The sequence below is a fragment of the Homo sapiens genome, chromosome 6, assembly GCF_000001405.40.
Source record: "Homo sapiens chromosome 6, GRCh38.p14 Primary Assembly".
Lineage (NCBI taxonomy): Eukaryota > Metazoa > Chordata > Mammalia > Primates > Hominidae > Homo > Homo sapiens.
In genome coordinates this window covers 34956806-34971931 of record NC_000006.12, presented here as the reverse complement: position 1 = coordinate 34971931, position 15126 = coordinate 34956806, and the positions used below count along the sequence as shown (strand labels likewise).

At 41.7% G+C, this 15126-nt stretch overlaps 1 protein-coding gene across 10 annotated transcripts in view; it reads right to left on the bottom strand.

The window, feature by feature from the left end:
- The window catches only part of ANKS1A (ankyrin repeat and sterile alpha motif domain containing 1A), a 208736-nt gene that overhangs the window by 126059 nt on the left and 67551 nt on the right, over positions 1-15126 (bottom strand). For all 10 annotated transcript variants that reach the window (XM_011514431.4, XM_011514434.4, XM_011514432.4 and 7 more), the window contains exons 2-3: positions 4613-4693; positions 1766-1922 (exon numbers count right to left, since the gene is read on the bottom strand). In XM_011514431.4, the coding sequence (XP_011512733.1) occupies positions 1766-1922; positions 4613-4693 (238 nt within the window). The remainder of the gene's footprint in view (positions 1-1765; positions 1923-4612; positions 4694-15126) is intronic.

Genomic DNA, 15126 nt, shown 5'->3' with positions numbered 1-15126 from the left:
CATTCCCAAATGTTATAAACAAACATCCTCACTGATGATTTTAAATGTCTGTTGCTCACCTACCCAGAAAATACAGCCCAAAAGGGGAAAGGAAGGCTGATTAACAGCTATATACACACAATCTCCAAATCAAGAGATTTGGGAGCACTATTTTAATTTTCTCATGTCTCAGAATGAAGCTGCCCCCCTCAGAATCAAAGTCATGCTTTTAACAGCTAACTGAGAGCTGCATGAGTCTCCTGACAGATGGACTTGCCAGGATAATTTCCTATTTTTTGAGGGAAAACTTTGATCTAATCCTACAGGTAATTTAACAATCCCCTCTCGGCAAAGTCATTAGAAAAATAGTCCTAAGCTTACTGAGAAACATCAATATCTCCCTCCTTCTAGGAACTGAGAAAAGTATCTGCTTCAGTTCAGAGCAGAGAGAGGAAAGGGGAGAATGGCTTATCATATAAGGAATGCCCGTCTCCTCTCAAACTTGCACACAACTTCCAACCCAAATGACAGGGAGTTGTATTTGTAAGAGGCTTGTTTAAAACTTGCATAATCCAAGTACAATTTTTTCCAAAGATATAAATGTAAAGAACAGGTATATTCTCAGAGTAACTAAATCCATGGCCATTATACGGTTATTTTTGCTCAAATCCTGCCTTTTTCATTTTCTAAGAATCATCTCTGCTTTTTCAAAGCATGCTTACTCGGAGGACATCATGGAAATGATCTTCATTCCACTGAATCACCTCTGACCTCCCCTCACATGTTCCTGATTTGTGAGTTCATTTTTTGGCACTAGCATGAGTACTTATACTGCTGCAAGTTCTGATGTATGTAAAACAAGAGCATGGTTTACACAGTACTGACAAACACTGGGAAAGTTACATTGCCATGTCAATGGCATAAACAGAATTTACTTTTACTTTTGAGACAGGGTCTCACTCTGTCACCCAGGCTGCAGTGCAGTGGCATGATCATGGCTCACTGCACCCTCAAACTCCTGGGCTTAAGTGATCCCCCGTCTCAGCCTCCTGAGTAGCTGGGACTACAGGTGTGTGCCACCACATCCGGCCTTTTTTTTTTTAATTTTTTATAGAGATGGGGCCTGGGGGGTTGGGGCTCCTCACTGTGTTGCTCAGGCTGGTCTCAAACTCCTGGCCTCAAGCAATTCTCCTGCCTCAGCCTTCCAAAGTGCTGGGATTGCAAGCATGAGTCACCACACCCAGCCCACAGTTAATTAAGCTCACTAGCTTGAAACTGACTCCATGCAATTTTGCAGGGTTTGCATTATTTCAAATTTTGCACATAAAGTGAATACAGTTGGCCCTTCATATCCACAGGTTTCCATCCATGGTTAGTTAAGTCTGCACATGCGGAACCCACAGACAGAGACAGCTAATGTTACTTTGCCGTTTTACATAAGGGACTTGAGCATCCTTGGATTTTGGTATCTATGGGGAGGTCCTGGAAACGAAGGGCTGACTGTGTATACATTTTTATTCTAGTACTATTCCAAATATGCATGAGTCAAATGCATATAAAATACATCCTCATAGTATAAGATCTACTAAGAAGAGTAGAACTGGGAAGAGGGGAATCACAATTAGGGTATGGAAGAGGTGGTTCCATGCTAAGGAACTGATTATCAAAAAGAAAGAAAAGGAAGAGCTGGTTCTCTGAGATTTGAACTATGGGGCTAAGATGGTGATGGGGTTGCCACATCTGGCTATAGCTGAATGGAGGAAGGAAAGCCTCCCTTCCTTCCGACCTGTTCATTGACTCTGGTGTGTGAAGGCCCTTGATGGATGAGCAACCGCACTATCTGGGCATCTCCTTTCCAGGCTGCCAAATGCAGAGGGTAGCAGCCTTTTGAGTCAGCCACGTTGGTCAGCGCATCGTTCCTCAGAAGAACCTCGACCACATCCCTAGAAGGCAAAAATCAATCATGAGTTGGTAGAACTCAGAAGTCTTTCCAGCTAACAGCTCTTTACACCTATATGGCACAAAGCCCTTTCACAGATATCTCATTTGGCTCCTGTGTCTCTACCTGAGCTCACCACCCCAGCTTTTCCTTTTATTCCATGAGCTACTTGTACAGCTGCTGATATGCAGCAGAACCACCTTGAGCCATGCTATGCTGACTCATCACCTCTCTGTTTAGGCTTTCTTGGTAATCCGTCTGTTTTCTACTACTTTGAAAATGTCTGGACTCTTTGTCCAAACCTGTTTCCTTGTTTATCATGTTTAAACAGCATTCAAGTGTTGAATTTACATAAAAGTAATCATACAAGACAAATATTATTATTCACCACATTATTCAGAGCATTTAGTGATGTAGGAGCTGAAAGCAGAGAGGCCAAGCAGAACAAAAGTTACTGCAGGCTGGGCAGAGTGGCTCACGCCTGTAATCCCAGCACTTTGGAAGGCTGAGGCGGGTGGATCACCTGAGGTCAGGAGTTCAAGACCAGCCTGGCCAACATGGCGAAAGCCCGTCTCTGCTAAAAATACAAAAATTAGCTGGGTGTGGTGGTGGGCACCTATAATTCCAGCTACTTGGGAGGGTGAAGCAGGGAGAATTGCTTGAACCCAGGAGGCAGAGGTTGTAGTGAGCTGAGATTACGCCATCGCACTCCAGCCTGGGTGACAGAGCGAGACTCTCTCTCAAAATAAATAAATAAATAAATAAATAGTTATTGCAAAAGTAAGCCAGACACATATGTTATCATTTGATATCCCCAGAAAGAGGAACTTGCTTTTTTCCTGGTGACAGCACTAATTAAACACATACCAGTATATAATTATCCCTATGAATGTGAGGTCAAAGAAAATCCCCACTGTAAATCAAAACAGCATCTGGAAATGAACTTGGCTAACAAACTATAGTCATTTAAGTTCAAGATTCACTTTAATTCAGATTACCCCACTATATATGGGAACAGTGTTCTCTATAGATTTCTTTTTAGCTATATCTAAGATGGCTACAGAAAAGACTTAATGATCATATTCAGTATATTTTAGAAATGTTTAATGTTGAAGGAAACAACCACTGCCTCTTTTTGGTATGTTGGAGTCAATTAGGGTGGGTCAAATATCGGACAAGTGACACAAAATACTCTAAGGTAGAGGGCTCTGGAGCTCCTTGCTCAGCAAAATCTAAAATGATTCCAATAATCCCTCCTCATAAAAACTACACTGCTGGCCGGGCGCAGTGGCTCATGCCTGTAATCCCAGCTCTTTGGGAGGCTGAGGCAGGTGGATCACCTGAGGTCAGGAGTTTGAGACCAGTCTGACCAACATGGTGAAACCCCGTCTCTACTAAAAATACAAAAATTAGCTGGGTGTGGTGGCGGGCGCCTGTAATCCCAGCTACTCAGGAGGCTGAGGCAGGAGAATTGCTTGAACCCGGGAGGTGGAGGTTGCAGTGAGCCAAGATCATGCCACTGCACTCCAGCCTGGGCAACAAGAATGAAACTCCATCTCAAAAACAAAAACAAAAACAAAAAAACGACACTGCTGCTACTTATTGCCTATAGTACTTGTTTTCCTTTAACACCTTCTATTCTGTTACACTCTGGTTTACATTCTTCAACATCCTGGCAAACCCACTCACTGTGCTCCCCGACAATGCCTGCCCCTTTGCTGGGCAACCTGAAAGGCAGTGCCCAATCACTTAAGCCTATGCCTTCTCTCTCAAATTCTCCCCAAAGCATGCCTCCTCCAGAGAACGTTCCACACAAATCCCACCCAGTTCCTAATAACTTCTCTATACTCAGGAGAATTACATAGGCCATTTAATGTATTTTTTTCCCCTTAAAAAGGGTTCTTGTGTACAGGGCTAATTTTATGAGGAAAGAATGGCAGGCAAGAAGAGAGAGTAAATAAATAACTATTGAAACAGAAGACAGCTTTCTCATGACCACTTAATCTATTTTCAGTTTATTGAGCAGTTAGTTACCTAATAGATTCCAGCCCCTTTATGTTCTGGCTGCCCCAAATTTGATCATCATACCTAGAACATTATGTAGCACTGGAACATTCCAGAGGGAAAAAGAACAAGCAGAAGAAAAGGTAAAACTTAACTCTTGGCTGAAGATTTTTTGGTGGGTAGGGTGGGGAAGGATGTTTAAATTATACATGAAAGAAAGACACAGAAATGCTGAATGAACTGAACTTACGTTTGTTTTTCTCTGTTTCTCAGTGCCACCGCTTAGCAAACCTTTGTTTTGTTTTTGTTTTTTAGAGATAGGGTCACTCTGTCAACCAGGCTGGAATGCAATGGCACAATCATAGCTCTCTGCAGCCTCAAACTCCTGGGCTTAAGCAATCCTCCTGCCTTAGCCTCCTGAGTAGCTAGGACTTCAGGCATGCTACCACGCCTGATTAATTAAAAAAATTTTTTTTTTTTTTTTTTTGTGGAGATGGAGGCTTGCTTTGTTGCCCAGGCTGCTCTCAAACTCAGCTTCATGTGATCCTCCCACCTCGGCCTCCCAAAGTGCTGGGATTACAGGCATGAGCCACTAAGCTCAGCCAGCAAACTTTTCTAGGAAATGAAAAGGCAACGTGAAGGCCTGGGTTCTGAAGGGTGAAGGCAGGAATGTAGTACATTGATACTTACTTATGGCCATTCAAAGCAGCATGGTGCAGGGGTGTGTAGCCAGTGCTGTCAACACAGTTCACATTTGGCCCTCTCCACATGCTATCAGGGAAAAAAAAAAGAGAGAGACATAGATTTCACAGACCGAAGTCACAAACCAAAGTTAGAGATAGCTAGCTAATTAGTAAAGATTTCTGTGTGGTGTTCAACCAGACCAGTTACTTCCAAATGACTCCTGATAACACACAGCAGCTATACACTGCAGAGATGCATAGCACTGAGGGTACACTGCAATGGTTTGCTGAACAGAGTCAAGTTTCAAGACAACAGTGTCATCGCTTAAGAGTCTGTTCTTCTAGTACTCCCAGGATTGCAAAAACAGCTCATTGAAAGGTCATCAAAGACAGAACCAAACCTCTCCGCCAGTCACAGGTATTGACCTCTCACTCCTGTACTGGTGACTGAAGGTTTGAGAGAGACCTCAACACAGATCAGATAATCAAGACGAGCCAACGAGCAAGGATCAAGGACAAAAAAGCACCAGGAGACGTGTCTTAAGATGCAAGAGACGATTTTGCCTTTCCTTTGTAAAGATGTCTTATTAATTAAAAAAATAACAATCTATAATTGGAGTGTCTTATCTGACTTAAAAATACCATAGGAGGGAAGCTGAAATGTTACCTTACTTAATCCTCAAAGCCTTTGTTCTTATTTCTGTTTCTGCATTGGCCTTACTGCATTGACCAGAGCTTCTAAAATAATATCAAATAATCCTAAAAGCCTTAGTTCTTATTTCTGTTTCTGCAAACTTTACTGCATTGGCTAGAGCTTCTAAAATAATATCAAGTAGCAGAGGGCAAACTTGTTTTGTTCCTGCTTCTAATGAGAATGCCTCTAATGGTTTGAGGTAGATACTCTGTAACTTGTAAAGGAAGTATCCTATTTTTTTTCCCCCAAAAAGTGTTATTAGAAATAGTTGGTTAAATATATTTTCTGCATCTATGGAGATAATAGTTTTTCACATTTTACAACCTAATATGTTATCAATAGGTTTCTTAATATTAAGCCATTCTTGGAGTAAACTTAATTGGCCATTTCCATTATGACCTTATTGGTAAATTCTACTTGAGAGCATCTACTTGAGAGTAGATTATTTAGGATCTATATTCATAATTGAGACTGATTTAAAGTTCTTGCTTTTTGTGCTACTGTTACTGGATGGTATCAGTGTTAGGTTAAAGTCACAGGTCAGCTGGGCAGCTGTCTACTCATTTCCATATTGAAGAATCAATGACACAGGCCAGGTGCGATGGCTCATGCTTATAATCCCAGCACTTTGGGAAGCTGAGGCGGGCCAATCAGTTGAGGCCAGAAGTTTGACACCAGCCTGCTCAACATGGTGAAACCCTCTACTAAAAATACAAAAATTAGCTAGGTGTGGTAGTGTGCACCTATAATCCCAGCTACTCGGGAGGATGAGGCAGAAGAATTGCTTGAATCCAGGAGTCAGAGATTGCAGGGAGCCAAGATCACACCACTGCACTCCAGCCTGAGAGACAGAGAGAAACTCCATTTCAAAAAAAAAAAAGACAATGACAGAGCACTAAAATTATAAAGAATCACCAGTAAAGCCATCTGAGCCCAGAGCCTTTATGCTTAGTGTTGGAAACAATATTATTTATAAAATTTTGGCCGGGTACGGTGGCTCACACCTGTAATCCCAGCATTTTGGGAGGCCAAGGCGAGTGGATCACCTGAAGTCAGAAGTTTGAGACCAGCCTGACCAACATAGGGAAACTCGTCTCTACTAAAAATACAAAAATTAGCCAGGCATGGTGGCGGGCACCTGTAGTCCTAGCTACTCAGGAGGCTGAGACAGGAGAATTGCTTGAACCTGGAATGCGAAGGCTGCAGTGAGCCAAGATCGTGCCACTACACTCCAGCCTAGGTGACAGAGTGAGACTCGATCTCAAAATAAATAAATAATAAAATAAAATTTTAGCAATAGGCATCAACAGACAAATTATTATAACTACAGTACAGACACAGAGTAGAATATCATATACCAGTTACATTGCTATGTAATAAGACAAAAAAAGATTATAATGTTAAGGAGAAAAAAGAAACAAAATTGTAAATACTATAAAGTCATAGCTCAGAAAGGATGAAATTTATCAGGAGAGTAGATTAAGTGCACAAGTTTACTCTACCTCCTGTCTAAAGTTCCCTGAAGTGACAGAAAAGATATCCCACCCTACACAGATAGAGAGCTATAGACAGATAAACAGATTCACACCAAGAAAATTTTAAAAGACACCATCAAGTAAGCAGCAATGCTGAGGAATTACTAAAAGGCAGAAAGTAGACAAGGTCAGATCTACAGAGACACAATCTAGAAGAATGCAAATTAAAACATTCATTGACAAAAATGAACATAATGATATTATCAAGTGTTTCTAAATATTAGGAAAACAAGCACTCTTAAACACCACTGGTATGAGTTTAAACTGGTAAATTCCTTTGGGAAGACAATTTGGCACCATCGACCAAAACCAAAAATAGGATTCACTTTGAGCCAGCAATTCCACTTCCAGGCAATTACCCAACAGAAATACTTGCACATGTGCACAAAGACACATGCTGGTACAGGACTGCTTCATTGTAAGAGTTAAAAACTAAAAACTTAATGTCTATCCATAGGCAAGCAGTAAAATATTAGGTATACTCCTAAAATACAATACTACGTAACCATCAACGACAACAGTAATAACAAAGGAAAGAAAACAAATTGGACCTTTAAGTCCTGACATGGAAAGATTTCCCAAGACATACCATGTTATAAGAAAGCGACGAAAGAAGGCATTGTATAATACACACCGCTGCAAATGGATGGTGACTGGAAGAGCACTCACCAAATGCTGATTGTGCTCACCTCTGGGGAAGAAAATCTCTGTGTTAGGGAGCACTGCAGATGATGAAGAGAGACTTTCCTATTGCGTTCTGTATTCTACCACAGTTTAAAACACTTAACAGTGAGAATCTATTCACATAGTGCTTTTATAATAATAATATTGTAAAAGAAAGGGGGAATCATCTATGCGCAAGGAAAAGAAGACAAAAAAGTCAAAATGTTAATAAAACACAGCTGTATATGGGTGACAAGCCACTTTAATGAGCATGTAGATATTAGGTTTAGAATCGTAAGATAAATTTTAAGTAGAAAAAGTGGGATTCTGTACAGCAAAGGAAACCGCCAGCACAGTAAAAAGACCACTTATGGAATAGGAGGAAATATTTGCAAACCATACATCTGCTAAGAGGTTAATATCCAAAATATATAAAGAACTCAAAACAACTCAATAGCAAGAAAGCAAATAACCTGATTGGAAACATTGGGCAAAAGATCTGAAAAGACATTTCTCAAAAGAAGACATACAAATGGCCAATAGGTATATGAAAAAATGCTCAACATCACTAGTCATTAGAGAAATGCAAATTAAAACCAAAATGATATATCACCTCACACCTATTAGAATGGCTATTACCGAAAAGACAAAAGGTAAGTGTTAGCAAGGATGTAGAGAAAAGAGCACCTTGCACACTGTTGGTAAAAACAAAAATTAGTACAGCCATTTACAGAAAACAGTATGAAGTTCCTCAGAAAATTAAAAATATAACTACCATATGAACCAGCAATTGTACTACTGGGTATATCCAAACGGAATAAAATCAGTATATGGAAGAAATATCTGCACTTCCATGCTCATTGCAGCATTACTCACAGTAGCTGAGATATGGAATCAACCTACCTGTCCATCAATGGACAAATGAATAAAGAAGATGTGGTATATATAAACAATGACATACTTTCCTTAGGAAAGGAAGGAAAATCCTGTCATTTGTAATAACATTTATCAACCTAGAGGACATTATGGTAATAAAATAAGCCAGGAACAAAAAGACAAATACTGTATGATTTCACTTACATATGGAATCTAAAAATGCTGAACTCACAGAAGCAGAGCATAGAATGGTGGTTACCAGGAGCTGGAGGGGGTGATGTTGGGGAGATGTTGGTCAAAGGAACAAAATTTCAGTCAGGAGGGATAAATTCAAGAGATTTACTGTACAATAAGGCAATTATACTTAATAACAACGTATTATAATCTTAAAAATCGCAGCCGGGTGTGGTGGCTCATGCCTGTAATCTCAGTACCTTGGGAGGCTGAGGCAGGCGGATCACCTGTGGTCAGGAGTTCGAGACCAGCCTGGCCAACAAGGCGAAACCCCGCCTCTACTAAAAATACAAAAATTAGCTGGGTGTGGTAGCACATGCCTGTAATCCCAGCTACTCGGGAGGCTGAGGCAGGAGAACTGCTTGAACCTGGGAGGCAGAGGTTGCAGTGAGCCGAGATCGTGCCATTGTGCTCCAGCCTGGGCGACAGAGCAAGATCCCATCTCAAAAGAAAAAAAAAAAGAAAGAAGGAAAGAAAGAAAAAAGCACTAAGTGCGCTGGTGTTTTTGTTTGTTTGTTTTGTTTTGTTTTGTTTTTGAGACAGAGTCTCGCTCTGTCACCCAGGCTGGAGTGCAATGGTGGGATCTCGGCTCACTGCAACCTCTGCCTCCCGGGTTCAAGCGATTCTCCTGCCTCAGCCTCCTGAGTAGCTGGGACTACAGGCGCATGCCACCATGCCTGGCTAATTTTTTTTGTATTTTTAGTAGAGATGGGGTTTCACCATGTTAGCCAGGATGGTCTTGATCTCCTGACCTGGTGATTTGCCTGCCTTGGCCTCCCAAAGTGCTGGGATTACAGGCATGAGCCACAGCGCCTGGCCAAGAGTTGGTTTTTAAGTGTTCTCACCATAAAAATGATATGTGAGGTAATATATATGTTAATTAGCTCAATCTAGCCACTCTATAATGTATAGCTATTTTAAAACATCATAATGTATACAACAAATATATAAAGTTTTTGTCAATTAAAAATAAATGTTTAAAAAGCAAGATACATGTATTTCGATATCTAGGCTATTTGTTCATTGCCAACTAAGGATGGTGAAGACAAGGTGAGGAGCCTGAGGGACATCGTGATACCCCATCCTCCACTAAGCCTGAACTTCTATAGCACTTTCTAAACAAGAAGCTAAATGCAATTAAATCTCTTTAACACATTTGTACAATGACCTCATTTTCCAAACCAAAAAGTATATGACTATGCCTGACAATGGATCAGGGTGATGGCAAGTGACATGGATCTGGAAAATCTGTGAGGTACCATTGTCACACTTATTTTCAAATTGCCACACAAGAGAAAATATCATCATTATAGCACAGGTGACACTAAGAATCTAAAAACAAATTATTTGCCCCAAATCACACACGAAATCAGCGGCAGATCAAAAACTCTCTTTGATGGAGCTCATGGCATTTGGCCAAACAAGGACTGTCTGATCTAACTGGAACAACAACATGAAGTGAATATGTAGTGGACATAATTCAGCAGCAACGCGATGACTAGAATAATTAAGAAGAACTGAGAAAGAGGAAACACCAAGGCTGGTTAAAGCGGCTGAGAGTGCGGGCCTATCAGCTACCAATTTAGTTCTATTAGAACTCAACTATCTCAGCCCTCTCAGTTCATGTCCCCAAGGAGCCCTGAAACTAAGATTTAAACTGCCTTTGATCTTAACAAAAAGGCAGGATGAAGCAAGCCTTTCATCGTTTTCTAACTTTTGCCTCCATGACTGGTTTAAAGGTGATTAAGTTTGGACATCCTATGTCAGCACTAAAACTCCCTCAAAACAATTAGAAAAGAAAAGGAAAAAAGATAGTGACTTCACTGCAAAAAGCAGCAACGTTTCCAACCAGAGGCCTTTTTTCCTTCTTTTTCTCTACCTTCTCCTCCAAAAGCCCATCTAGAAGTTTTGGGGACTGGGGAACACATTAAACAAAATCTAAACGAAACTGGAGAACTCTAATCTCCTTGTTTGGTATTTCAGCTTCAGACAGGATGGTAGTAACATCCCCCTCCACCCAAGTTTCTTCCTTTTTGGCAGCTCAAGAAAAGAGTTACTTACAATCTAGGTCTTCCTCCCTATCACAGCTGTCCTATTAGGTTTTCTAAAACTGTAAGCACCAAAGGGCTGCTCACCGACAAACAAAAGCAGCATATAATGCATCAAGAACCAGAGAAAACAACCTTAAACACAGCCTAGGAGATTCCTAAGCAAAGTTTAACCTGTAAAGATTGTGCAGAAATGCAATAGCTGCCCTTGACTTGCAAGACAAATGCTCAGACTGATCTTAATGGGTCCTGGAGCAGTCACAGCAAGCCTGCGTGATGAAGCTATGGAACCTAAGTTAGGAGCTTGGGCTCTGCGGTTAGCCAAACTGACTTCAAAACTCGCCTCCGCCACTTGTCATTTTTTGACCTTGGACAATTCACTTGATTTTCCACACTACTGTCTCTGCATTTGTAAAGTCTACCATGATGGGCTCCCCAGGACTTAAATCATTCATGGAAACTTCTAGAAGTTTGAGCAAGTATAATAGTATTGAGAGGCCTAGCATGTCAAAAAAGCTAACCTGCTTTCACATGATGCTGAAGCGCAGCAAGCCTTGCCCTATGCACCTCGGCGGCACCTATGTTTTGGGATGGCATCTAAAGCACTGTGGAGGGCATGGAAGAATATGACTGGTGAGGCCCTGTGGCTTTTGAATCCCCCCTCAAAGGCCTCTCTCCATTCCTTTAAAAACTGATTGCATGTGTAGACATGCCGGGCACTGTGCTGGATTTGGAGGTTTTGATGAATAGAAACAGCCCACTCTATTTGGTGAAGGAGCCAAATGAGGTCCTGTTTATGGAGCTACTCACGCATGTACTCAGCAGACACGTGAAGTGCGCCTTCTAGGGGCTGGAGATGCAGATGGAAAAAGACAAAGTCTGCCCTCATGGAGCTTGATTTCTAGGAGGAGGGAGAGAGTGAGCGAATAAGCAAACAAATAGATCCTATGATGCCTATGTGGTGATAAGGGCCAAAAGTGAGCAAAGGAAGCAGAGGCAGCAAAGGAAGGGGATAAAAAGGAAATGAGTGATATTTGAGATAAGGTCATCAGAAAAGACCTCTCTAAGAAGGTGATCTTTGAGAATATCTGAATAAAGTAAAGAGCCGTGAGGGGGTCTGAGGTAGACAGGCAGAGTAGCATCAAACACAGGAGCCCTGGGAAGGAGCGTGCCTGACCTGTGGCTGGAGAGGGGAGTAGCAGGGAGCTCCGCCCACAGAGATGCCAGAGGACATCACAAAGGACATCGAGGTGAGTTCAGTTCCACAGGCATCCGCTGAACACCTAGTAGTGTTCACTGCCAGGGGTAGAAAACGGAGGAGGACATAAAGTCCACACTTGAAGGAAAGGGGAGCACTTTCAAAACAAGGGGAGGCACAGGCTCTAAAGGCTAAACTGAGGTGATCAGAAACTAAGTCTCTTAACAGAGAATCAGGGTTCCTCCTATCTGATTTCAAAAATCCATCAACACTCATAGCTAAATTTACTTACCACTCTTCAGACCTAGCAAAACTCAAGCGAAAACTTGAGGTAAAATTGCTTAAAGTCTCTGTGAAATCAAATAAGAATCGCAAAAGCAAGACAAATGGGATATTTATTCTGTCAAGCACAGAAAGTGGCCCAACTCAAATGTCCCCTGATCCTCCACATCTTTCCTGATTGCACTGGCTGCTATTAATTTCACCCTTCTCAGATATTCCAGATCATCCACTGCATCTTCACCACAATATTTATCCTATCTGATCCTGAGCCACAGTGAATTATTTATCCTGCTTATTCATACCATATATTATAAGTCCTTTAGGGAAATCCCTCATGTTTCCAAGAACAGAGCACTATGTAAGGAATTGGCCCAGGGCCACCAGGGTGCAACTTCTAACATTCAGTTTTCAGCAATCTGCTCATTCCCTCTTACCAGATCAGATTCTTGCCAACCCTGAACCAACATTACCCCAGTATGACATGGTCTCTATGCAGTATAACAAACCTACTACATTTATATCCATTAAGAATGGCAACAATCTCTTGATGGGACATACAAGAACACTGCATCTGAGATGTCTGTACATAAAACACAGCGACAGAAGAACCATAAGTTAGAACCAAAGTGCTCAGGCCACTTTCATGTGCGTGAGGTCAGATTTCTGGACTGAATGATACCCTAAGTGGCCTTAGCTGGCAGTAAACATGATTCATGTGGTAGCCCAGCTACTTTATTGCTTACTTTACACAGACAAGTAATGGCATCTCAATGGGCCAGAAGTGTCCAATCCAGTTGAATCCAATCAATGTTGATGCCACAGCGCTGGACAGTCCCCACCCTTGAGTTCAGTGAGGAAGTCAGACCAGTAAACAAATGACAATACTGTACAGTGTGTGACATTCTGGGAAGGAAGTACACAAACTGGCTTAAGGGAAATAGGAACAGAGAGGTTTTACAGAAGAGGAGATACTTAAGTTGAGCCTTAAAGTTTAGAAGGAAGCAGCCAGGCAGAAACGAAGAGGCAACATCCAAATTCACTGTCCCCTGAGTAGTCTCAGCAAAGTGGGACACCTGCAAGTAACTACGAGTGGCTGGAGCATACAAGTGGAAGGATGGTGAATGCAAGGTTGAACAGGCCGGCAGAGTCAAATCAGAAAGGGTCCTGTATGCCGCTGAAGAGATTCAAGCGGGGAATAATCAGATGGGTGTTTTAGAAAAATCCTTCTGTTGACAGCTGGGAGGCGGGTACTCAGATGGTCCATTTGTTATTCACTATACTGTTGTGATGGCCTGACATATTTCAGAATTTTTTTTCATCATTATGCTGAGCAGGTGTGTAAATGATACACTAAGAGAAGTGTGTGACTAGATCCAGGGAGCCCAGGTGAAGTTAGTAATTCAGGCATGAAGTAAACACCTTCATGCAGTGTAAAGAGGACAGAGAAAAAAGGATAGATTCAATAGAAAAGACAGGACCTTGTCAAATGCAGGTTGGGGTGCACTGGCGGCTGTTTGAATCAGGCTACTCAGTGAGTAGTGAGAATTCTGGGGGAAAACCAGGGTTGCTTTGTTTTGTGACTGTGGTGACGTGAGGTAGGGGAGAAGAGAAGGGAGCGGGAGGGAGTTTTATTTTGAATTTGTTGAGGCTGAAATGAATTTTGACTCCCATATGTAGATGTCTGGTCAGTAGGTCGATATGAGGGTCTGGAACCCATAATCCTATGTTATATAAAGCCCATCCTTGTTTGTACCATGGTTACACACCAAATAACTTGAAATGACAATGTCTAAATGTTTACATGCATTTGCATGCATGGTACCCATACTTGACTCTTACAAGCATACTATCAAGAAGGAAAACAGATACCGGTATTTCCATTTTACAGGTAAGAAAACTGAAGTTCAAATGGCTTGCTGATTGTCATATAGTTGATTACATGAGAACGGAAACAAAATTCCACATCTGACTCTAGTGCATGTTCCTTCCAGTTTCTCCAGTCCCTTGACACTGAATGTTTAGAGAAAACAGCGTGCATCTCTGTGGGTCTCCTCCTGCATTAGTTCTCAGGAGGTCAACGACTCAAAGCATCAAGTCAGATAAAGGCCTTCTGGATCACAGACCCTGTAAAGAGGGAGCAATAAACTTGAGGGGGAAGAGAGGTCCTAGGCAGCTCTCCAACAATTCTTCATTAAATCATAATGTCTAAACAGGAGTTTTGTCTCATCAGCCTTTTTCTGCCAAAGGCTTTCAATGTTTTCTTCTTTTGGTTATTGTTGCAAAGTGAGATTTATCTCTGAACCTCAGGAAAGGCTGGCAGTTTTCCAACACAAGGAAACACTCTCTCAAATCAGTCTAATTTAGAAAAGATTTCATCTTACTCAAATGAATTTGACACATCCTTCCTAAAATGCTTTCTACATACTTAACAGTTGAGGGTAAAAGGAGAGATACAAGGAGTCTATGAAACCATCCCCACTGTCAGAGAAGCTTGTAATCTTCAAGGGAAGACAAAACACAGACATGAAACAGTCAGACACAGAAGCCCCACAACAGTGCCAAAAGAGTTCAGTTAACAAACTGAGCATGTACTTTTATTTCTGCTCTCTCCTGAACCCCATTAAAAACAGAGTAAAAACAAACAAAAAGGCAAAAGGAACAGGAGAAGATAACTGAACATAAAATGTTGATCCTTTTTGAAAGATAAAAAGTAGGTAAGTTAGTAGAGCTGAGAAAAAAGTGAATCTCTGCAGCCTGTGAAGGCGATGCCAATTCACAGAGGCACCCTTGGGAAGGCTCAGGGATTAGGGGCACCAGGTGGCAGAGGAGGCCAGGGACGGGGAGGGGCTGAAAACTGGGACTTAATACAAATTCTGTATAAAGAGGTGTTAGACCACCAGGTCTGCTGTCACATCCAGGACAGCCAGGGACTATTACTCCTCTACCTGCACAGGAGAGGGTTGATTTATTCTGTAAGAACCAGCTTGGATC